At 38.7% G+C, this 26,112-nt stretch overlaps 1 protein-coding gene across 1 annotated transcript in view; it reads left to right on the top strand.

The window, feature by feature from the left end:
- BRINP1 (BMP/retinoic acid inducible neural specific 1) overlaps window positions 1-26,112 on the top strand; it is a 202,807-nt gene that overhangs the window by 129,757 nt on the left and 46,938 nt on the right. Inside the window, exons 5-6 of the mRNA NM_014618.3 lie at window positions 919-1,024; window positions 25,524-25,760. Coding sequence (NP_055433.2) covers window positions 919-1,024; window positions 25,524-25,760 — 343 coding nt within the window. The remainder of the gene's footprint in view (window positions 1-918; window positions 1,025-25,523; window positions 25,761-26,112) is intronic.

The raw sequence follows: 26,112 nt of genomic DNA, 5'->3' as shown, positions 1-26,112 counted from the left end.
AGAAAGAGAAAGTTACTGATCCAAGGTTTCACAGCTGGAAAAGGGCAGAGAAGGTGCATGTGGCTGCCTCCCAAGTCATTGTTCCTTACAATGGATGCTGTGTTTTTATAGCTGAATGCAAACTTCAAAACAACCCTAAATAATGGGAAGCAAAGGCTAAATAAATGAAGAGGCTTCTTTTCATACTAAGCCATTCTTATTTCAAGGTTATCTTTTTGAATAGCTGTTCCTCTCTTACCCACCACCTCAAGTCTTTCTAAGACAATGTTTTGGAAATGCACATCCACAGGATTGGGTCATTTTCTCCTGTGGCAGCACAATGCTTCTTGCTAAAACTTCTTTAGGAAAATGGGCATCGTTTTCTTGTTCTTGCCTAATAATAGTGTATATGTACTCATTATAACTTATAGAGCCATTTTGTAATAAGGTACCCATTATGGAACACATGCCATGTGCCAGGCGTTTAGACCCATCGTACCTGGTCTCACAACCTCTCTGGAAGAGATTTACTAGCTTTGATTTGCAGATACTTAGAGAAATTAATTGGCTTCCCTAGGTCCCAGGGTAAATACATGGCCTAGGCAGGATTTAACACTATTTTTTCTGATTCCAAAGCCAATGCTTTTGAAATATAATGTGTCAACTTCTAAGTTCATGTCTACTTGCAGCCACCGTGTGAAGTGAGAACCAGTGGTAGGAACAGGCATGCACTCTGTATGCTTGACCACCCTGCTTACCTGTCTACTCAGTGACAGCTGTGCTTGGTCCCAGACACAAGCACGAAGCTCAGAAAGTGACCATTGACTCAAACCAGGAGGCCTTTTCTGCAGGCTTTGCTCTGCTGGGGCATGACTCTTTGGGGTATGTCCTAGACAAGGACTGCTGTCTCACACCTATCTTATTTGATATCTACTGCAGGTCACAGAGACACGCACTGGGCCTCTGGGCTGTAACAGCTATGACAATCTGGACTCTGTGAGTTCCGTCCTTCTGCAAAGCACGGAGAGCAAACTGCACCTTCAAGGTAGGAAGCCAGTGGAAAAAGTGGGGTCAGTTGGGGGAAACATCATGGATGTGATATGTGGGAGAGGGGATCAGGAGGGATGGAGTGAAGGGAGAATAAAGAAGAGGAAGCATAGAAAATCTAATGAAAACTGCAAATATGGAAATTAGACAGTTATGATACCGTGTATACATATATATTTAGAATTTTTTAACATATGCAGGACAGTAAATTCATGATTATTAATTAGTTTTCAGATAGTAAGGAAATGTGAGCTTTAATTAATTTGTATTTATAAATATCTACATTTCTTTGGTGTCTGTATATGCTGTATATGTCAAGTTTATGTTTGGGGCTCCATATACATTATTTTAAAGAAAATATATCCTTTAAAATAGTAATTTCATCTTTATTAATTCACATCATAAAAAGGAGAGGAGATTGCAGGGAAAAGTTGGACAAGGCTTTAAGTACACATAGCACTGTTTTTAAAAAGCATAATGTATTATATCAAAAAAAGTAAGGATTTTAATTTTTCACATGTGAAGACTAAGTGAATTATATTGCATTAATACAACATAATATTAAACTGGTACTGATGTTTATAAAGAATTTCCAATAATATGTAAAAATAATGTGATATAATGTTAATAAATAAAAGGTTTCTGATGGAATGGGTGGCATGATCTTAATAATTTAAAGAGATAATAAAAATAGGCAGGGTGCAGTGGCTCACACCTGTAATCCCAGCACTTTGGGAGGCTGAGGTGGGTGGATCACGAGGTCAGGAGTTTAAGTCCAGCCTGGCCAATATGGTGAAGCCCAGTCTCTACTAAAAATACAAAAATTAGCTGGGCGCGGTGGTGTGCGCCTATAGTCCGAGCTATTCAGAAGGATGAGGCAGGAGAATCGTTTGAACCCAGGAGGCCGAAATTGCAGTGAACCGAGATTGCGCCACTGCACTCCAGCCTAGGCGACAGAGCAAGACTCTGTCTCAGTACTAATAATAATAATGGCCAGGCGCGGTGGCTCATGCCTATAATCCCAGCACTTTGGGAGGCCGAGGCGGGCGGATCACGAGGTCAGGAGATTGAGACCATCCTGGCTAACGCGGTGAAACCCCGTCTCTACTAAAAATACAAAAAGTTAGCCAAGCGTGGTGGCAGGCGCCTGTAGTCCCAGCTACTCGGGAAGCTGAGGTGGGAGAAGGGCATGAACCCGGGAGGCAGAGTTTACAGTGAGCCAAGATCATGCACCACTACACTCCAGCCTGGGCAACAGAGCAAGACTCCACCTCAAAATAATAATAATAATAATAATAATAATAATGTAGCAAGAAAATATGCCCAGGTATTAGAAGAGCTTACTTCTGGATCTCTAGGTTACCGATGATGTATTTTAGGCATCTAATTTCTTTTCTAACTTCTCTACAATGATCATGTATTAACTTTAGAGTCAGAAAAAAAAATGACATGCTTTAACTTTGAGCAGACTAAAAATGTGACCTTCTAGAAAGGTATATGATAAAGGTGATTCTGAATGTCAGTGGGAGGAAGTTGGGTTGAGATTGGCAGGTAAAGCTAAGAGGAGACTAATGTGACTTTTATTTTCTGGTTCCTTTTGGCAACTCTTTGATTCATGCTCCCGTTACAGAAGGTGGTTAGAAAATATCTTCTGTTTTCTAACATGCATGGAGGGCTTGGTAGTGTCACTTGAGGGCAGTGAATGAAAATCCCTCAGGGAAATTCAGGCCAAGAAAGTGGTTTACTATTAAATAACAAAACACAACACACTAGAAACTTAAATACATGGAGCGTAACCCTGCCCTCTTTAGCAGAAAAAAGAGTAGACAGAAAAGAGTAGCAGAAAAAAGAGTAGACAGAAAAAAGAGTAGACAGAAAGATTTACTAATGCCTGTTAAGAAAGTAGATAAGAAAGACAGATCTTCCTTGTGTGTGCCAGGGTTTTCAATGTGTTAGTTCATGCGATACCTGTAGAGACTGTGTGAAGTGGGAGCCAGGATTTGAATCCAGGCAGTGAAGCTCCAGTCTGTGTTTGATCACCCTGCTGTGCATACTGAGGGTGGAAAGATTGTGAGTTATAATTGGAACAGAAATAGAAGGAATTAATGACATATTCCTACCAAGGAAATTACTGAGATCTTAGGGACATTTAGAGGTTGATTTACCTGAAGCCAATGAAGCTTAAGGTTCAAGGATTCTGCACCTTCCAAGTACCCACCTTTTCTCATTCTAAATACACACTTGATTTCCTATCTAATTTTGAATTTATTTTTTAAATAAAACAGCTAGTGTATAAGACTTATGTTCTCCAAAATCTAGATCTGCCATGATAACATTATTAGAAGGATGCTGTGAATGGAAAGGGTGGTAGCAGGCCTACTGTCCTACCCTAGATGGGTTAGAGTACACCTGGAGGATTGGATCCGTGTTTGAGCATCACACTCCAGGAGGGATGTTGAGAAACTGCAGTTTTTCTTGAGAAAGTGTTTTACTATGATAAATAGTAAAAGAAGGTTAAATTGAAGCAAAAATTACTTGCTGCAGGTATCTAAAAGGCTGCCTTGCAGAAAAGATAATCAATCCCATTAATATTAATAAAATGGACCAATCCCAATCTAGTAGGAAGGGAGAAGTTACAAGGATCCCAGCTTTTAACTCAATGTAAAATGGATCTTTCTAGTACACATTTATGACCAAATCTGGAATGATCTGCTGAAGGATGCAGTCACTCCCTGTTGTCAGAGAATTATAAGTAGATTATATTTGGTGCAAATGTTATAGAGATTATTTAAGCATCAGTTAGGTTGGGTGATTGAGGCAGGTGGTTTTAAGTTCTTCTCAACACTGATTCTAGGATTTTATGAAAATGATGAATTATAAAACCTTTATTGAGACTAACTACATGCCAAAGCCAATACTAGACCCCAGGCATATAATCATAAATCAGTTCAAGTCAACAAATATATTTTTTGAAGAACTCATGTTGGTAATGAGATAGACAAAAAAAATAAAGTCGTGAACAAGACAGACATTGTTTCTGCCCCAAGGAAATATACATTCTATTAGAGAAGATGAGCTTCAAACAAACAAGAGTAGGCATAATAAATTTTAATGGAGAAAAAGTATAAGGTTTATATGGCACGAGATAGCATAGGGACTTAACGTACCAGGGAGTCAGGAAAGTTTTCTGCCAAAAAGATATATAGGATAAGACCTGAAGGATGAATAGGAGGACAGAGGCATGGATAGAGAGGCAGACAGAGGATCTTTATGAAGGGGTATTCAAAGAAATAAGAAACTCATGTGAAATTAAAGCACAGACATCAATGGTGAGAAAGACAAGATAATCTTTCAAGTCCTAGAAGGCTTCTGCAGCACATTAATGAGTTGAAAGTTAATTTGAGAGCAATGGATACCATGGAATGGTTTTTTAAAAAGAAGTAGCATGAAGAGATTGATATTTTAGAAGATCATTCTGACTCTTGTGTGGACAGTTAATTAGAGGGGGTGGATTAGAGGTTGGTGACATTTAGGGGGCTACTACAGAACTCAAGAGGAAATGCCACGGATTTAGACCATGGGGGTACCAGTTGAGATGGACAGAAATGGAGCAATCCCAGAGTTACTTAGGAGGCATTATGACGAGGATTTAGTGAAAAGACCATATAGAATTTAGACAATTGGGTGAATGGCTTGTGGGGATGAGATAGAAAGGATAGATGGGCAAGTATCTATGACTCAAGATAATATATAACCTAATAGTCATAATAAAATAAGACATGGCATTATGGGGATTCAGAAAAGGGAGTGATTCATTCTGTCTGTTCAGATTCATTCTGTCTAGAGGAGTCATAGGAAAAAAAATATCTGAGGAAGTATCATATTCTCCTAGTGGAAGGCAAAACAAAAGTACTTCTAAAATATAAGACAGATTATCTCATGATTTTTGAGTGAGCTCATTTTTATTCAGTAGGATGCAAAAAAACACTAAGTATAAGAAAAAAAGGCTAATAAATTGGATACATTAAAATTATAATTTATGTTCATCAAAATACTATTAATATTATAAGAATATGAGCCATAGAGTGGAAGAAAATATTTGTAATACATGTGCCTGACAAAGAACACTTATAGAATACAGAATATACATATTTTTAAAACTTCTGAAGTCAAAAAGAAAAAGGGAAATAGTCTTGTAAGAAAAGAAAATGAATGAAAGACATGAACAAGCACTTCACAAACAAGAGTGTCAAAATGCCAAATAAACACTTAGGTGCTCAACTCTCCTAGTCAGGAAAAAAAGTGTAAATTAAAGTCACAATTTAATATAACACAGCAATGAGCATGACTCAAATCAAAAAGACTGACAATATCAAGGAGGGACAATGTGAAGCAATGGGAACTTAGGCACATTGCTTATAGGAACACAAATTGGTACAATCACTTCGGAAAATTCTTGGCAGTGTCTACAAAAGACTGCACGTGTCCTTGGTCAATGACCCATCAATCCTGACTCCTATGAAAACATGCTCACCAGAAGACATAAATGTTCACAGCAACTCTATTTCAAATAACTCCAACTGGAAACAACCCAAATGTCCATCAACAAGAAAATGGATAAATAAATTGTCATACATTCATACAATGAGCTTACTATACAGAAATAAGAAAGAATAAACCACTGTTTCATACAACAATATGGAAGAATCTTACAAACACAGCATTGAGTGAAACAAGTTAGACGTAAATGAGTACAGGCTGTGGGATTCTATTCCTAGATGGGTGAAAAAAAAGTAAAAACAAATACACGGTTTTAGGAGTCCAGAGAGTGTTAACCTTTAGGGAGAGGAATGGGGTAGTGGCTGAAGGGGTGAGAGACATTTCTGGGGATATTGGTAATGTTCTGTTTTTTAAATCCGGTTGGTAATACATGGATGTGTTTGCTTTGTGAAAATTCAAAAAGCTGCACATGCTTTATTTGTATGTATGCATTTCTGTGTATACAATACGTATCTATTTAGGTTTTATTTAATAACATGTCCCATGTTGACATCCTCTGCAAAGAAAGAACATGAATAAAGGGGAGAGGCATGGGAAAGTGGGAGGTGGTTCAGCCCAGCTGGAGGACAGGCTGCATGAACTGAGGTTAGAGGAGCCAGGAATGACAATAGATATTATTTTTTTCAGTGCTTCCTCATATGCCAGAGATTGTGCTAATTTATTTTTATTAGATTTATTTTTGCTTATTTATGTATATTTTTAACTTGTTTTTATTTTATAATTGTATTTATTATATTTTTAATCCTCAACATGATTCCCATGAAGAAGGCATAAATAACATTCTCATTTTTGCAGGTGAAGAAACCAGGGCCTAGAGAGGTTATTTAATAAGTGGCTGAACTGCAGTTTTAACTCAGCCTAACTTCAAGCTTCTTCAAATGTGTTTCCTCTATATTTCTCTCTTCCTCTTCTCATTCCTTTGAATGAGGCTGGGAGGGCAGATTCTGCAGAAGGCTACTTTGGTGGATTGAGAACAATATCAATGGCACTCTAATGACTTTCACCTTGTGATGTTTCATGAAATGTTTATTAAAACAAGGCAAACGTAAAGCAAAATAGAAAAAAAAAAAGAAAGAACAGGATTGGAGGAGATTAGAAATGAGAAAGAAAGCATCATGAGAATGATCAGAGGCTATTAGTAGTCATAGCAGTAACAGCTCAAATAGTGGTAATAACACTAATGGCATAATGATAACTTCTTATTTTCATACTTCTCTTTCCAAGAAGCCCATTGAATGTTTTACCAACATTGTCATGTAATTTAATCTAGTATCCATATGGCGAAGTATACAGGGAGCAAAGCTGTGCCTCAGTAGCTCCCTGATGTGGAAAGGGATGCAGAGAGAATATTTTGCTGAAATCTGTGGATGATACAGAAATTTATTCTTTCATACATTTACTAATTTATTTATTTAGCAATATTTACAGAGCACCAACTGTATGGTCAGGTATGTTTTTAAAGCCAGATATACAGCAGTGAATAAGATAAATGAATCATTTTGAGCTTATAATTGATGTGTGGATATGGCAAAAGCAGACAATAAATAAAAAAACTTCTTTATAATCAGAGAAATAATGAAGGAGCAGGTCATGTAGAAACTTGTAGAACATGGCAAAAACTTTATATCAGATTTTACTCTAGATGCAATGAGAAGCAATTGAAAATTTAGGCAGAGAAGTAACTTGACCTGACTTAGATTTTAAATAGATAACTACAGCTATTAAGTAAGAAAGACTGTAGAGGGCAAGAACAGTTGTAGGATATCAGTTGTTAGGAGGCTGTCATGTTTATCCAGGTGAGAGAACACAGTGGCTTAGATCATGACAGTTGCAATGAAGGTGGTGAGAGGTGACTGAATTTATGGATGAATTTTTAAGGTTAGCCTGACATGATTTGGTAATGAACTCAAAAGTATTTGTGAGAGAGAGAAGTCAAGGATGACCCCAAAGTTTTGCCTGAGCAACTACAATGGTAGAATTGTCACATTGCTATGATGAGACTGGTAAGGACCAGTTTTGATGGGACATGTGAAAATGCGTTCAAACCTAGTTGAGTTGGAACCTACGTTTGACAAATCTATTCGATATCCAAATGTAGATGTTGAGTGGAAGACATTTGAAAGGTAAGAGGAGAAAACTGAAAATATAAATTAGGATATAAATACTATTTAATTATCTGAGATTGAACAAGATTACTTTGGGAGAGAGGGTAGATAGAGAAAAAAAAATTCAGTTATTGTGCCATGGAGAAATTAATGTTAAAAGTTGCGATGATAGAATGATGATGAGGAACAAGAAAAGGAAGCTGGAGAGTGGCCAGAAAAGTAAGAAGAGAGACAAGAGAGTATAGAATCTTGGATGTTATATAAGGAAAGTTTTTCAAAACAGAGACAGCAGTAACTGCGTCAAATACTGCTAATAGTATAATTAAAGTGAGGACTGAGAACTGAGGATGATATTTAGCAACACATGGGTCACTGATGACAAAGGATGTTTTCAATGGAATTCTGGGGGTGAAATTCTGGAGCAAATTCAAGTGAAATTCAAGGGCAAACTCTACAGAGTAGTATTATAGTAAATGGCACAATAGCTTAAGGTGATCAGGAGTAAAGTGATATTTTTCTTTTCTTTTTAATATAGAAGCAACAAAACTTTTGTCTAATGTTGAGAATTATTCTGTAGAGAGGGAAAAATTGATACTGCAAAAATGGGAGGAATGGTTTTACAATCAAAGTGGAGCAGGCAAGAGTGAATAGGGTCTTGTGCATAACTGGAATTATTTGCCTTAGATAGGAGCACATATTCTTGGCAGAGAGGGAAAGGAGAACCTGAGATCAGAGGCTAGTACAATTTGTACATGTGATAATGGAGACATTTTCTTGATCTTTATTTCTTGATTGCCTATCATAGATTTTAAATTGTATGATTTTTCAGATTTTAATACCTCTGAAATTAGAATGCTTTTTATTATTGATGATGTGTCTTAGTTTAATTTGGCAGGGTATTATTTTCTTAGTATACATAAAACAGTGGTGTGTTTTATAGTAAATATCATCTTAGATTTGTAGATTCAATGTCATAAGGTATTTCCCCTGAAAAATTGAGTGAGGTCATTAGCTTATTCCCAATTTCCAAAAGGTAAGGATGAATGCAAGGAGGATAGAGATCATTAGGAGATGGGAGGGTAGGCCAGGGAAGGGAGATGGGGTCAAAGACCACTAACTTGAGGTATCGTCTGCCCTCTGCCTGAATCTCCAACAGGGCCACCCGAGACTTGTGTTTTGAGAGCCTTCTCCAAATCTTCACATTCAAATGGTCTATCTGGTTTCTTGGTCTTAAATCATTTATCTTCCTTCTCTTCATCCTCCTCTTTTTTCTTCTTCTTCCCATCTTCTTCCTCTTCTTTGACCTTTTCTTTTTCTATCTCTGCTTGAAACCTCAGCTCCTTCTAGACTAGAAGATTTCCTATCACTCATGCACCCGGACTCTCTTCATGCCTAAAATGACATCCTCACTCTCTTCTATTGAATGTGGCCCATCTCTCAATGCCAAGCACAAATGTCCCCTCATCAGAATCATTCCTTCTCCACCCTCTGCCTTGGTTCAGCTCCTTGTCTCATCATCTCTCCCTTCCCCAGATCAGTACAATGAGGGTCAAAGCAGCCTTCTTGTTCAGATCTCACTCCTGCTGATCCGTTGACTCACAGCAGCCAGCGTGATCTTCTTAAAGCCAAATCAGATTCTCGCTTCCCTCCTCACAGCCCTTCACAGCCTCCGTGAAAGTTTTGGTATACAGTTTAGATTTCTTAACTTAACACCAGGCTGTTCAAATGCAAGCCTTGCCAATCTTCTTGGCTTTGCCTTATGCTATCACCCAACATATACCATATCCATGCTCCAGACCCATGCCATTTCTTACATTTCACTACAGGCATCTTTTGAAAACTATTATTTTTATTTTTTTATTGCCCTGCACTTTTACACAGCCTTTCTCCAATTCCTGAACTTTTCATCTCTCTCAGGTAAGCTTCTCTAAACTCCCCTCCCCAGGCCATTAGATGGTCTGCACAACTTCTTCTCTAGGAGTTGCCACACAATAGTATCATCATCCTTTTATTAATCTGACTCTCCAATTGTCCTAGATTCTTGTTTGATAAGAACCATCTCTCTCTCTGGCACAATACACAGAGACTGATATATAGACACTGCTCAAAAGATAGTTGCTGTACGACTGTGTGAATGAATACATGAATGAATCACTCAGCCCATAGTGAACTCTGTTTTCTTCTTTGAACCCTTACACTTCTTATCCCACATGATACTGGATTCAGTTCAACCTAATGACCATTTCCTGAGGGCCTACTGTATGCCATTCTCTGTGCTACATTGCATGCACAGCATTCTTCAAAAGGGCATGTGTTTTTGCTATTGCTTTGGATGTTACATCTTCCAGGAAGGGTCATACCATTGAATTCTCCAAATGCCACCTCTTCTGAGAAGCCTCCTGGCTTCTTTTGCTTCTCTGACCTTCTACATTATGACCATTGTCACTCTCTTTCTTATCTAAGGAGATACAATGTAGAATAGTGGTTTCAAGAAAAGGCCCTGGAGTCAAACGGACCTTAGTTCCAGTACTAGTTCTACCATTTGCTGGCTGAGAGGTTTCAGATAAGTTACTGCAGCCTCCGAGCCTCTATTACTAACTTACTTCCTATGGTTGTTGTATTATGCATGTAAGAATATACATTATGTCTGGCTTAGATTAAGCATTAAAAAAAGTTAGGTATTATTTTTACCACCTCTATCAATGTGTTACTTGCAAAATATTTGCTTTATTTATATTTGCATCCTCCATGGCATATGTGCTTGGCCAATATCAAGTGCTCATTAAATATATGCTGAATGAATAAATGCAGTGTTCCTTACATAGTCAGGAACTCAGCAAATCCTTCCACAAAAACCACAGCAAGTATTTATGGTGTGCCAAATATTAAGAACAACCACTGTGTTAGTCAAAGTGGAGGATCACAGTCTAGGGGATTAAACCAAATACATATACATAAAAAGTGTACTTGGCAACTTCAAAGATAATCTCAGTTTGATCAGTTTATTTATGAATCAATCAAGTAATTAATATTTTTCTCAATGGATCTTTATTCAATATACATCAGTTCACCCCTTTGTATTAATCTTCCCAAGTCATAGCCTATTAGGACTGACGCTTGCCTGAAATCACTCCATGGTTTCCCCACATTCGTGGGGTCCCAAATTCCCTTTCTAGCTTCAGTTCTAAAGCCCATTGGAACAATGGAGGTGGGACTTTCCTAGAAGAGGCAATGATAATAACCAACACGCGCAATCACGCAGATTATCTTTCCTCCAACTCACCCTCTTCTTTCCCATTCGTCTTTGCTCAGCAGTATCCTCTACCAGAGATACCTTGCATTCCCATCTCTACTCAATGGCATTCTACATAGTCCTCAGGAACCATTTAAAATGGTATCTTGCATGCACACATGCACATACACAGGACTGGATTAAAATGTCCCTCCTCTCATCCCATTATAACTCTTTGATTACCCCTCATTTACAGTATGATTTTTTTTTTTATTTTACTCACCTTGCAACATATTCATTTATGTTTAGTTTTCTATCTTTTCTATTAGATTAGAGTATAGGCCTCTTTAAAGGCAAAGATTTTTCCTTGCCAATTTTACATTTCGTAATATTTAATGTAGTGCCATGGGCATAGGAATTATATATAATATAATTCCTATGTGTGTGTGTATACACGTACATACATGTATTTGCTGAATTGCTGAATTGAGTTTTTGAATATAATTGGTGCTAGACTGACAGTGGAAGATAATGAGATAAGGAAGATTAGGAGGAAGGGGAAAGGAAAGAAAGGAAGAGAAAGAAGTGTGGAAAGAGAGAAAGGGAAGGGGAAGTGAAGAAGGGGGTAGAGGGAGAGGACAGGGCAGAGCAAGAGGAGCAGTCTGATGAAGAGTAGTGTCGGTAATCCCATTTCTCAGTAGCTAGACGTCACAGATGGAGCGAAGATGACTATTTTCAAAATCATCTTGCAACAAATAGTAGAAAAAGAAAGTGTAGGAGAAATGTTTAAAAATAACATTTTTTTGAGATGCTATCCTTCTTAGACATTGAGCTTATAACCACTAGCCCATTTATCCATCCCACCAACTAAGAGTTAGGGATCATGCTCCCCACTATACAGATGAAGAAATTGAGGCTCAAAGAGGATGAAAAGACAGAGAGTGAATAGGTCTCCTTTTTCTAAAGCCCCCTCCTCTCCCACACGCCCATCACTTTATGTGGACTTGTAACCTCAGGGTGATACACTAAGTGATTGTTGCCAGTACCTGGTCTCAGCAGCAGCTTTGGGGTGAATCATCTTTGTTAGGAATTAGTCTAGAGTCACAAGCAATGGCTCATGCCTACAGCCTCTCTTGTCCAGTTAGCAGGGACCTGGAGGCACTAATGGGAATTTATGTTCCTGGCTTCCTGTGGCTCTGCCGATGAGGCCCTTTCAATGAAAGAGCAGTGCCTTTCGTGTCTTCATGAAAAATGAGATTACTGATTTCCACCCAGCTAGCTGCATCCAACTGTTGCTTTTACTTTATGAACATAGGAGCACCTTGTTCTATGCTCGCCAGAGGAGAAGGATTCTTCTCAAGAAGAAAGGGATTGAGGATATCAATCAAAGACTCAATCAGAAACCGAATAGAATGAGGAGGATGGGCAGAGAAGATTTAATTAGAAATCGGATAGAATGAGGAGGATGGGCAGAGAAGATTTGCCAGTGATAAAGACTAGTTAATTAGGCCTCTGAGCTTCCTTAGGTCTTTTAATCTGTAAAATGGGAATAAGAACACATGTATCTCAGAGCTATTGTTCTTCATTTATTTGGAAATCACATAGAAAGCACCTGATCTAAAAACCAAGAGGGTTCATAAAATAAGAATACTAACAATAACGGCTATTATTTGTGAATAATTATCATGTGCCAGGTATAGAGCTCATTTCTTTACATGAATATTTCATGTAAACCTCAACACAGTCCCATTTTTCAGATTTGAAAATTGAAGCTCACAGAAGTTAAGTAACTACCTTTTAGAGCAGGAATTTGAACCCAGATCCACTCAGTGCTGGTATTCTTAAACTCTACATAATTTTGCTTCCCAACCTGGGGCATATATATAATAGTCATGGTTTTTACTAGATCAGGAATTTATATAGCCCTTTCCATGTGCCAGCACCATAACCTTTCTAGGTTCTGCTATTTACTTTAGACAGTCTGTGATTTTCCTAAAATTACTTGCCAACTTGTGTAGGTGTGACCGATTTCCATAATTATTCTCATATTCTGAAATGGATCTATAACCGGAGAAGACAAAAAAAAACCCTAGAATAGATGATACTAGGCTTTGCAGCAACCCAGGAGTATATGACTGTAAAAAGAGCTGCTTCTGACCTACAGAAACCTGGAATCTGGAGGGAACTTAAAGACTCAGACTTGGGCAGGAAGGAGTAAAGAATTCTAAGCAAGCACAAACTGATGGGGTATAAACTGATGCTGAGAGAAGGAGTATCAGGGAGTTACTTCTTGGTATGTAGCCATGTGGGGCTATACCATTCAAATAAACTTGTGGCCAAGTACGCAGCATGGAAATCGTGAGAGATAAATGGTTGATGTGGCAATTTGGTCTATTTAACAACCATGTCCCATTAGATTCCTTGTCGATCTCATTGATTGTGCAGAAATGAGGCATCAGGATGGCCAAAACCTAAATAAGTTACCCATGATAATTAGTTTATTGACTCCATGGAGATATGGTGCCTGTTTATTTTTTAAGATGATTGGGCCACTTCTTATCTTCTTCCTAACAACTTACCTTAGAATTAAGCTCTCCTTTTGCACTGTCAACAAAGCATTTTTAATGTGCCTCTATTATATTCCAGATACATTCTGTCTTGTCTTATGTGTACAATTGTACACGTCTGCCACTAAATTGTAACTGAGATCGCTGAGAGGAGAAACCATATGCTTTTTCATTTGTTCATTATTTGCTTCTCTTTCTCATAGTGTTTAGCTTATAGTAGATGCTCAATAAATGTTTACGGTTTAAAGTTATTTGAACTGTCGAATCGATTTGTTTTGAATCTTATTTGTTTATTGTTGCAAAATATACACAACATAAAATTTAACACTTTAATCATTTTTAAGTGTTAAATTTAGCAACAGTACATTCACAATGTTGTGCAAATATCCTTACTATTTCTACAACTTTACACAACCCCCAAAACAAACTCTATACCCCCTAAGCAGTTATTCTCTATTTCCCCTTCCCTTCAGCCCCTGATAACTACTAATCTGCTTTCTGCCTCTATAGATTTGCCTATTCTGGTTGCAGTCTGCCCTCTATACCCTTGAGTTCCATATCCGTGGGTTCTGGGTCTGTGGCTTCAACCAACCAGATAGAGACTATTTAAAAATTAATAATAATAATACAACAATAAAAAGTACAAAAAGTTAGTACAGTGTAACAGCAGTTACATAGCATTTACATTGTATTAAGTATCATAAGTAATCTAGGGATTATTTAAAGTATAAAAAAGGATATGTGGAGCGTATATGCAAATACTATGCTATTTTATATAAGGGACTTGAGCATTCATGGATTTTGGTATCAGAGGGTGGTGGGAGGGTGGGATTCTAGGACCAATCCCCTGCAGATACCAAGGGATAACTGTATTTCAAATCAATGGAATCATACAATATGTGGTATTTTGTGTCTGGCTTCCTCCATTTTACATTTTCAAGGTTCATCTATGTTGTAGCATGTATCAGTACTTCATTCCGTTTTATGGCAGAATTAATACTTCATTGTATACATATACTACATTTTAGTTTTTCATTTATTGGTCAGTGGACATTTAGGGTTGTTTCCACCTTTGACTACTATGAATAGTGCTGCTATGAACATTCATTTACAAGTTTTCATTTGAATGCTTGTCTACAGTTCTTTTGAATATATACTTAAGAGTAAAATTGCTGAATCATATGGTAATTAAATTAAAAAAAGATTTGGTGTAAAAATAAGTGTATTTTGTGGCAGATTTCATTATTACATTATTGTTCGTTTCCTCTAAGAGGATTATATACATACAGTGCATTTCCATGTGACTGGCAGCACTGCACTGTGGGAGGCTCTGTGACTTTCCATTTTAGTGACATTGGCCTTGTCCATGTGATTTGCTTTGGACAATGGAATGTGAGAGACATGGTACATGACACATTTGGGCAAGACACTTTAGGAGACATTGTCTGGCATGGCTTTTGCTCTTTTCCCTTTATCATAAGAATGGCATATTCCTGAAAAAAGGCTGCACCTTTAGCCTACATCTGAAATGAAGAAGACATCTGGAGCAGAGCCAAAGCACAGCTGACACGAAATATGAGCAACAAATCAACCTTTGTGGTTATAAGCCACTGGGATTTTGAGGTTATTCGTTACCACACAGTAATTTAGCAAAAGTGCCCTAATATTAAAACACTGGATTAAATAACATAAACCACATTTATTTACTGCAGGACTTCTCAGTGTCTTGACTGTGCTAATATGTATTATGAGTCTAAAGAGGTGAATTAAGTACAGAGTTTTCTGAATGTATTTGGGTTTGGGCATATTTGCAGATTTGTGATTCTGTGGCATACAACTTGGCAAATGCTGGACCATATATACTATTCAGGTTCAATCCTGTACAAAATGACTTTCCCAAACTCCTCTACTATTATAAAAGTTAGAGAGGTCTTCTTTTTTGTTCCTATGCAAACTCGTGCATATGTATGCATATATTTTATTGTCATTTTACATTTATAAATCTTTTTCTAGTGCCAAACTAGAGCCCCATGAGGCCATAAACCATGTCATATTCACTTTTTGTATCTCTAGCATCCAGTATAGAACTGGCTTAATAAAGTGGTAAATGAAAGGACTTTCTTAATAGATGTTCAATTGAGTACTTTAATTTTTGCATACCTACTATGATCTAGCACTGGGCTTGTTACCTTGGAAAGAATGCAAAAAAAAGAGATAAAGTTATTGTCCTCAAGAATCATAATCTATAGCAATGGATCCATAACAAATTATTTGCTGAAGTTAGTGGCCAAGTCTTTTAGCACCATTGTTCTCTTAAGAATATCTTTGTGCCTATGTATTTTTTTACTCAGATCTTTCTGAGCACATGTCTGTAACTACTGAGATGAAATTTAAAAAGCCTCGTGTCTCAAGCTGTAATATTGTGAAAGAAGATACAGGTTTTGCTAATGAGGGATGGCTGTAGAGATGGGGCATGCTAAACATAGAAGACAGAACCACAGTCCTCTCTGAAACACATTCTGTCTAAAATTGCCTTCATTCAAACACGTACTCTGGGTACTCAATACTGTGCTAGATGACAGGGAAATGGTAGATGAATGAGCTGTGTTTTGCATTCAGGAAGCTTATAGAGTAGGAGAGACATGAACATGAGCACACATATGATACTGTAAGTGTCCCATTGGGATTTGAAATATGTGCAAGGTGCTTTTGGTTGCCAGCAGAGAGACTACCTGAGACCACATAAGACTTCTGGAGAAAGGAATAGAAAACAGGGCAAGGTCAGAAAATAATGTCACTTAAACAACTACCCTGTACTAAGAGCTCCACAAGTGCTATTTATGTTATTTTATTTTCAGGTTCATTGACATATAATTTACATACAGCCAAATATACCCTTTTGAGGTGGACTCTTCTATGAATTTGACAAGCATATTCAGTTATGTAACCCCCACCACAATCAAGATATAAAATAGCTCATTTAATTTTTACACTAGCTTTATGAAAGAAGCTTTGATAAGAAAACTGGGGATCAGAGAAGTTAAGCCTCTTAGCTTCTTCAAGGTCAAACAGTTAGTGAGAGCTGAAGGCAAAATGTGAACAGGAGAGAACTTGGCATGCTTGGAGAACAGAGATAATGGTATGGCAGGATATAACAAGAAAAAGAAGGGAGATGGGTAAGAGAATAATTTGAAGACATCAGCTGATCCAGGGATCAGGTAGCACAGACTCTTACAGGTACCAAATTTGGTTTGTATCATGACTTCTGTGAAGAAGCTTATATTTAAATTGAACCAACCTCTTCTTAAAGCTTCAAGAACATGTTCATGTTGAAATTTTATGAAATTGAAAAAAAAAGTATGCTGGCTTCCTTATCCTTGGTGATTTCATAAATTAAGCTATATTATCTTTTTTTGAAGTTAAAATTCTCATTTGGAAGTCCCTCTGGCCCAACCCCTCTAATCAGTATAAATCCTTTCTATTTTTATTTATTTATTTGTTGTCTTATCTCCCTCACTACAAGGTAGGTTCCATGACAGCAAGGATTGTGTCCTTGCCTTTCCTAGTTCCTTGTCTTTTCTCTAGAACCTAGAACAGTGTCTGCACATGATGGATGCCTTATTGATCTTTGCTTGACAAATGAATAAACAACAGCACAGAGCAGAATCATAGAAAAGTCAGGTTGGAAAAAATCTTGATGGTCATCTAGTAGAAGAGTTGGCAAACTTTTTCTGTTAGGAACCAGATAATTAATATTTTAGGCTTTGTGGGCCGCATGTTCTCTGTAGCAACTGCTCAACTCTTTTATCTGCATGGCTGTGTTCCAGTAAAATTTGTTTATAAAAATAGACTGCAGGTCAATTTGGCTATAGTTTGTCAACTCCTGTATCTGTTAGTATAAGCTAGGTTATGCTGTGCTAACAAACAATTCCTGAATCTCAGTGATTTGCCAAAGTGAATGCTTATTTCTTCCTTATGCTACATGGTGGTCACAGTACTACTGTGATTCTGCTCCTCCGATGGCCCCTATCTGGAACATTGTTGGACTTGTAAAAAGAGAGATTGATGAGCTCATATGTTGTTTTCTATAGCTTTGTTTGGAAAAGACACACATCACTCGCACTCATATTTCATTGGCCAAAACATGTCATGTGAACTTGTTTAAGTTTGGAGAGTGGGGATGTGTAGTTATCTCTAAGAGGGGACATTATAAGAAGGAGCACTGAATGTGGGTCAATGATAACCCACCCTACCACCTGCCATCTGAATCTTTGATGGAACCAAGATTTGTTTGTGCCATGTCACCTTTCAAACTCTGCTTCCACACTTCCAGTGTTGGGGAGTCCTCTGCTACCAAAGCAACCTGCTTCATCCTTTGAAACGTCTGATTGCTGAAAAGGTGATTTTATTGTGCTGAATTCCATATACCTGTATCTTTCACCTAAGGATTCCAAATCTTCTTAAGATCCTGCAGAGCAGATGATTTTATTTACAAACACAAAAGATTACTCTAACCAGGAGGGGACATTTCCGAATTCTTATATCAAGGAAGCAGGAACCCACTCACCAACCCCCAGGTATCTGCCTTTCCTCATTTTCCAGAGTGTAAATGACCCATCATGGAGACAGAGCTGAACTTCTGAATGAGATCATAGCCTTTTCGCCCTTTCTGCACAGTTTCACCCGGTGAATTATTGTCTTATTTTCATTCCACTCCAATGAGCTGTCAGCGATGGATACTGTAATTCACAGCAATAGAAACACAAACAGATGGGTAATTGACCTGCATGCCTTCATTACACTGGAGTTCAGCATGGCTGTTGGAGCCATAAAGTCCTTTATCTGCCAGTCTGAAATCCCTGGGCTTTCACAAGGAAGGGGATCAGGCTGACTTTTTGCAAAAGGTGCAGTCCTTGCTGTTGTTCTCCTCACCTTGTGCATTTCGGAAATGGACAGAATTTGACAAGCAGAACTTAGTGGTACAAGACAACAGCTGGGGCTCCTATAAAGCTCAGAGATATCTACAGGGGGCACATTCTGATACAAGAACAGGATAGAAAAATATTTATATTCAACTAAAATAGAACCTGTGTTTTTTCCTTCTTCCCTTGGCACTGTAAGAAATCGTGTATTTAATATCTAATGAAATAGGTCAGAAAAGAGCAAATCCATCAAAAATACCACTGTATTAGGTAATTAGGATATAGAATAAAACAAAATAAAGCTTACCAAAAACAACCTATGACAATGCATGGTCTTTGCCTTGCATAAGAAAGGCTTAGATTGACCCAAATTATGCCCTCTGCTATGGCATACTGAGTTCACTTTCTTTATCTACCTATTCAGACCATGCTCATGTTTCAAGATTCAGCCCACATCCCACAGCCATTACAAAGTCTTCCATATTCATTATTTCCAGGCCTATTTTCTTTCGTCTTCATAATAGATCACTGACTTATTCAATACTTGAAATACATTTATAAAAACCTACTATGTGCCAGACACAATACTACTTTTAATGTTTTAATCATCAATCAAGGACTTTCTTTCCCGTTCTTGAATTTTTTTTTTGCTTTAGTTTTCAATATCTGAGTAACCTCTCTGTTTCTTTAGGAGGTGGGAAGCATGCATTAAACCTCTTATTTCCTCCAACAATTCCTAATGTACTACTTGTTAAAAGGAGAAACAAGCTGAGTTCCTGTCAGCAAAAGAGCAGAATCAAAGTCAGCGATGAAGATTGGGCTATAATCTTCAGGTCTTAGGTTCACCTTCAGCTTCTGTTGATTGGATCTTCTTTCCCAGTTATCTTTTCCAGATATTCTTCTTTCCCCAGCCTCACAGAGCATGGTCAGTTGATCCAAGTGCCTGCTAGCAATATCATCAATGTTGTTGAAGGTCTCCAGAGATCCAACTTGAGGGTCCCCTAAAGTTCTTCTGTTACTTGAGTACTCCCAGTGGTTGAAACTCAATAACACAGTGAGCCCCATTTTTTTCCTGAGTCTCAGAATCCCATCTTATAATGAATAAAGATCTTTCTTGTACTATAAGAAATGCTATTTCCTCTAAGGAGCTCACAGATTTCTGCTTTGTGTCACCCTTCCCTTCAAAATTTTGATCTCTTGTGTGCAAGTACTCTTTCTTTTCTTTTCTAGGGAACTTGTAAGCAAACAAACAAAAGAAGACGAACCTTAGTCAGAAAGAAATGTGAGGGCCAAGTTGATTCTCAGCTGGAAGGAGTTCTATGCCCGTGGCCTTTTCCATGCTCTTCCCGCTGTCTAGACTACTCTTTCTGTGGATCCCTCATCCCCTAGTGCCCTTGTATCCATTAGGTCTCAGCTTAAATGCTACCCCCTAGGAGAGTGGAGAGTGCTTTTAACACCCCTAATCCAGTCCATGCTGAGTTCATTGTTCTTTCCCTGTGTTCCCTGAAAAACTTGTACTTCTCATAGAATACTGGTTTCATTGCATCCAAGCAACTAGTTTACATCTCTTTCTCTCTCTCTCTCTCTCTCTCTCTCTCTCTCTCTCTCTCTCTCTCTCTCAGTAAACAGTAAGACCTACAACAAGAGGGAGTTGTCTGCCTCATTCACCCTAGTATCCACAGCACAGCTGCCTGGCACATAGTAGGGCTTCAGGAATATGTGTGAAAGAAGGGAAGCAGAAAGATGGGAAGAAAGAAAGGAAAGATAAATGGGAAGAAGGAAGGAGGGAAGAAAATGAGGAAAGAAGGAAAACAGGAAGGAAGGAAGGAAAATTAATAGAAGAAAAATGATGGAGTGATTAAAAACGAAGACCAATAATAATTATTTTAATCCTCATATAAGAAAATGCATTCTTAGCATGTTTTATACTGGCTCAAATGGTGCTATTCAAGGAGGATTTTTCAAGAAGGGTTCAAGTTTGGTCCAGGTAATGAATGTGATCTGATATCTAGTTAAATGGGGGGCAACCTAACATTTGTTGAACACTTAATTATGACAGTGTCTTGGTCTGCTCAGGCTGCTGTAACAAAATTTCACAGACTGGGTGGCTTACACAAAAGGAAATTATTTGTCACAGGTCTGGATGCTGGGAAGTCTAAGATCAAGTACCAGCAGATATGGTGTCTGGTGAGGGAGGGACTGCTTCCTGGCTTGTAGACAGCTACAAGCTGTCTCTTCTCCCATCTCTTCCTTTTCTTATAAGGGCACTAGTCCCATCACAAGGGCACCACCCACATGACCTCATCTAAACCTAATGACTTTCCTAAGTTTCCGGCTTCTTATACCATGGCATTGCAAGTGAGGGTTTTGGCATATGAATGTATGTATGCAGGGGACAGGGAGCGCAAACATGCAGTCCATGGCAGCCGAGTTGTGGCTTAAGTTTATGCCTTTTCTCTCTTTGTTAGTATACAAGGAGATTGGGGTTTCAACCTCATAGCCAAAAAAAAAAAAAAAAAATCCCTGAGTTTCAGGGGGTATAAAACATTGCCAGAGGTCTCAACTGTGCTGGAGCCACCACAGGGGTTGTAAGCCAGGTCACCCTCGAGTGTGTCAGAACTCAAGTTGAATTCCTAGATTGGAGTCCTGGTTCTGTTACCTTAGTTGTGAGACTTTGGCCAGGTCACCTGATTTTTAAATTCTAACACCTCAGAAGCCTCGTGAGGCACTTTCTTTTCATCTTGGAGAAGGAAGCGTTTAAAGTTCAAAGTCAACACTTCCTCCTTGCAGGAGGAAGTGTTTAAAGTTCAAAGTTCCTTTGACTGTTAGGGTGCAGTGGCTTATGCCTGTAATCCCAGCACTTTGGGAGGCCGAGGCAAGTGGATCATGAGGTCAAGAGCTCAAAACCATCCTGACCAACATGTTGAAACCCTACTCGGGAGGCTGAGGTAGGAGAATCGCTTGAACCCGGGAGGCGGAGGTTGCAGTGACCTGAGATTGTGCCACTGCACTCCAGCCTGGTGACAGAGTGAGACTCGGTCTCAAAAAAAAAAAAAAAAAAATATTTATTTGATCAACAAATGAGTGCCTGGAGCCTACACTGGGCTTGACCTTAGTTTATACTCTGGGGGCCCTTAGAGGGCAGACAGGTCCCTTCTTCCCTAGAGCCTACTCTCTAATGGGGATGATAGAAAAACTATTAGAAATAAAACAAATTCAAAAGATAATTTCAGCCAGGAATTAATCCTATGAAAAAAATTGAAGATGCCTTTTAACCTGGGTCTGGGAGGGTCTGGATTATAGGACAAGGGATCAAGCAGAAATCTGAGGAGAGAATATTCGGTGCACAGGGAAACGCAAGTGCAAAGATTATGGGAGGAACAATATTGATGTGTGTATTGCAGGTACTGAAAAAAAGGCAGGGTTTTTCTGATGTATTCTCAGTACAGAAGAGAATATTAGGAGATAAGAGGAAGGAGGGAGGCAAGGAAATAGAGATATCCCATCATGTGACACAGAGAAAGAGAAATAATATCTCAGCACACAAAGACTGTATACAAGCTACAAAAAATATTGTGAGATGCACCTGTCGAAGGTGAATTGAAAGGAAAAAGAATGAGGCACAAATCAGGAAAAGAGAAGGAAGACATCTTGGGTGTTCCCACATATACATTGCCCACATGCTCTGCAGAACAGTGAAACATTCCATTTTAAATTATAACAAGATTATTTTAATATATAAAAAGATTGGGAGAAAAATATTCCATATGTTCAGTGTGGGTGAGTTGATGTTCAAATAAAACTCTCAACTATTGCCTGCCTGGGTTTTCTAAGGCAAAATTTATATGCTTGGCAATAACAGTAGCCCTTTTCTCTCTCATTTTCTCAGTTTTCTTTTCTCTCTCTCTCTTTCTCTCCGTGTGTGTGTGTGTGTGTCTGTGTGTCTGTGTGTTGTGTCTTTGGGAACTGTGGGGACAGAATATTTCACCCCAGCCGGCAGCTGTATATCTTTCAAACAGTGGTTTCACAAGCCAAATCCCCCTCCAAATTATTTATGGTTCCCATTGAAGCAGGCAGGATTCAGGCGCCCATGTAGGAGTTCAGCACTGGGCCTCTTTGTTGGACACAGGCCATCAGGAGACGACTCTGTCTGTGACTGCTGTGTGAACCTCCGCTGCCGTAGAAATGGTTATGTAACTTTAAACAGTAATGACATTTTACAGAAAAGTGCTTTTTAATTGCTATGTCTTCATTGTTCTCTTTCGAAATTGCCCAGGAGATTCTGCCTCCAAGACAGCTCGGCATGTTCTGAGTTTCCATTTTTAAAGAGCAGCCAGTTTTGTATTTTAGCTGCTCCCAGAAAACCCCCAACCCCAAACTTCATCTGTTTTCAGTTGCATTAAATGGGGTAGGTAATACTGCCTTTTGTATCCTTGCCAAATGGAAAAATGATTTGACGCAATTTTCTATAAATGCTCTCCCCAAATTCCTTTTGGGCTGGGACCAAGAATAGAATATTTTATCCCCTACAGAAGGGAGAAAGAAAATGATGAGCAAGCTAGAAAAATAGAACTGAGAATATAGTCTGTAGAGTTCCTTTAAGCAACAGAAACTTAACCCCGATCCATACACCCAGTTGCCTATGGGGGATTGGGATCAGCTAAAAATAAATTTGGCTCTAGAAGAGAAAATGGTGATATAGATAAAATGACTAAAAGAATTGTAGACTCAGAAAGAATTGCACACTCTGAAAGAATTGTAGACTCAGTTCAGAAGGGACTTTATTCTTGATTTGTTTTACCTCACGTTTTGGTATGTGTGTTATGCCCTTGTACAGTAGCCCTCCCAAACAGTCACTCAAACCCATACGGACTCATTGCTCATCAATGTGGAGCTCACTCAGTCTCACAGCAGCCCGTTGTTCAACTGTATAGCTTAATCTGCTAGAATCCCTTCCATGCATATTGACATATACACCTTTCTCAACAGCCCTGTCACCAATGCTGGTTCAACAGGCACAGAATTCTAAACCCTCCTGCTTATCAAAGCTCTGCAAATATGTGAAGACTGCCTTTTGATTATACACCCACACCTGTTTTTCTTTCATTAATCCTGAAGGTTTTGTTAAACCTTTAACCACTTTAATCAGAGGAGTGGCATCATCATCAATATCGTCATCGTCATCACATCAAAAATAAGAACAGACAACATTTATTGTTTGCTTGCTATGTGCCAGGAGCTTTTCCAGATAATTTGTAGGCATTCTTTCATGTAGTCCTCTCAATAATCTTTGTACATAGATACTAAGTGGAACCTAACAGGCAGGCTGAATATTTTGCTTGAGATGACTTAGGTAGTAAGAAGAGGAGCCAGTGCAGCCCTGCCCAGGTTTTTGACCACACCGTGCAGTGCAGCCATGCCCAGGTTTCTGACTACAGCATGCAGTGCAGCCATGCCCAGGTTTTTTACTACAGCGTGTGGTGTCCTGCCATAAGGCATGCTGGAGGAATCATCTTCTTTCCCACAATGTCCCTCTGAAAATATTCTCTTTTAGCTGCCATGTGAAGACAGGTTGAAAGGATGGGGCTTATTTAAGTATATATAAAACCTGAAGAAAATGGAAAAAAGATAAAAATCTAGAAACAACTGTGAATAGAAAATGGAAGAAATGCTGACCTTGTTGAGCAAATCCCTGATGAGTTGGATTAAGGAGTGTCCCTGAAGCATAAATGAGAAAAAAAATAATCCAAATAAGAATACAGTTCTCTTTTACACAGTGAGTAGTAGAACCATTACCTCATATTGGAAGCTAAAACTGTTTGCAGCTCCAAATGAGGTGGAGAGAAATGTCCTAAGCGAAAGTGCCCTAATGAATTAAGTTAGCCCAGATCTGTCCTTCTCTCTGGGCACCACAGACAATAGACCACTCTGCTGACTTTTCATAGGTACCAGAGTAGTGCTCATGTCCAAATAAATCCTTCTCTATCATTGGCTCTCTGTATTAAGACTTTGAATATTCAAGTATAAAGAGAGGATCATGAGATGTAATCCAGAGTGCTAATCCTGTAACCATGGGCTGGTCACTTCCTATTGGTAGACCATGGCTTCCTCACTGTTAGAGCAAAGAAGAGAAAATTAATTATCTAGTGATGCTTGTGTCTAGTGATGTGTTAGTTTTTATGTTACAGTGGTCCTATTAAATTATATCACTCTAATTATGTTACTCGTACCCTTCAAAACTACCAATGTGTACCTATGATCCACAGAATAATGTCCAAATTCCCTAGCATATAATAAAGCCCTTTGCACACTGGCCTCTGTCCCTCTCTACAGCTATTTTCTACAGCACGAGCACCTCCATTCATCCAAGTTCATTTCTTCACTAGGAATTTCCAGACACATGATGCCTTTCCTCTTTTAAGAATGTCCTTCCTGTTCTTCTTTTAACCTAGTGTTCTCTTACTTGCTTTTCAACCAGCCCAAATTCTGTCTCCTCTATGAAGGTTTCCCTGCTATCTAAACAATGTTATTTGCAGTCTTCTGCTGTTCATTTGCCTCATATGGCTCTCTCTGCTATAGGTCTATAAAGCCATGTTATGATGATGTGCGTCCATGTCTACACCTGCTGATTATATTGTAAACTCCCCAAGGGCAAGGATTGTGTCTTTTTTTTTTTTTTATCTCTACAGGCCTAGTGCCTAGCTCAGAACTTGTGTTTCATAAATAGGGTTTATATAAATACTTAAGGAAAGCACTTGAGGAAATAAAGAATAATAAACAATAATGTTATATTTTCAATAAGAGTTTTCTCCACAAATGGAAAAGGTATATACCATATGTGGCTCTAGCCTCAGTCCTACTATAACAGAATAGAGTATGCCTTTCAGAGATGGCCAAAGTCATGACCTGAGAAGTTTAAGTAAAAGTGATGCAACTGGAAGCCTCACCAATAATACCCTGTCTGGATCTAGGTTGGCCCAGAAATATATTGGTTCCAATACACAGGGAGAAATGTAGCAGCTTCAGATTCCTATGTATCACCTTTGGAAATTGTTAATGAAACACCTTTTTTTAAACCTTTCTGTTTTCCCTTCTTGCTATTCTCACACAGGTCTTCAGATAATCTTTCCTCAGTATCTGCAAGAGAAGTTTGTCCAGTCGGCCTTGAGCTATATCATGTGCAATGGGGAGGGGGAGTACCTGTGCCAGAACAGCCAGTGTCGCTGCCAATGTGCCGAGGAGTTTCCGCAGTGCAACTGCCCCATCACGGACATCCAGATCATGGAGTACACGCTGGCCAACATGGCCAAGTCTTGGGCCGAAGCTTATAAGGACCTGGAGAATTCAGGTAGAGAGTCTCACTCAGTGCCACTGCATGAGTGGCCTTGAGCCAAGTCTGAAAGGGAGCTAATCTAACTGGAATTAGGACTGCTGCAAGGGAAAGTTCAGTGACCCTGACCCTTTCACTTTGGAGTGTCCAGATGCAAGTATAATAGCTGTCACAGAGCAGGCACTCAATAAATCTCAACTGAATAAAATTAATGAATAGCATAATCCAGTTTGTGGTCATATGATGTATTGTTTCTGTCGTACCCAGAAGACAGAAAGAATAAATCTGCATAGGAAGCCTCTGGAGAGGGAAGAGTCAGAGGTAGTTGTATTGATTCCTTGGGCTGTGTATGTGTGTGTGGATATTTGTG

This window comes from Homo sapiens, chromosome 9 (assembly GCF_000001405.40).
Source record: "Homo sapiens chromosome 9, GRCh38.p14 Primary Assembly".
NCBI lineage: Eukaryota > Metazoa > Chordata > Mammalia > Primates > Hominidae > Homo > Homo sapiens.
Note: the sequence above shows the minus strand (reverse complement) of the source record. Positions and strands in the feature narration are given on the sequence as shown.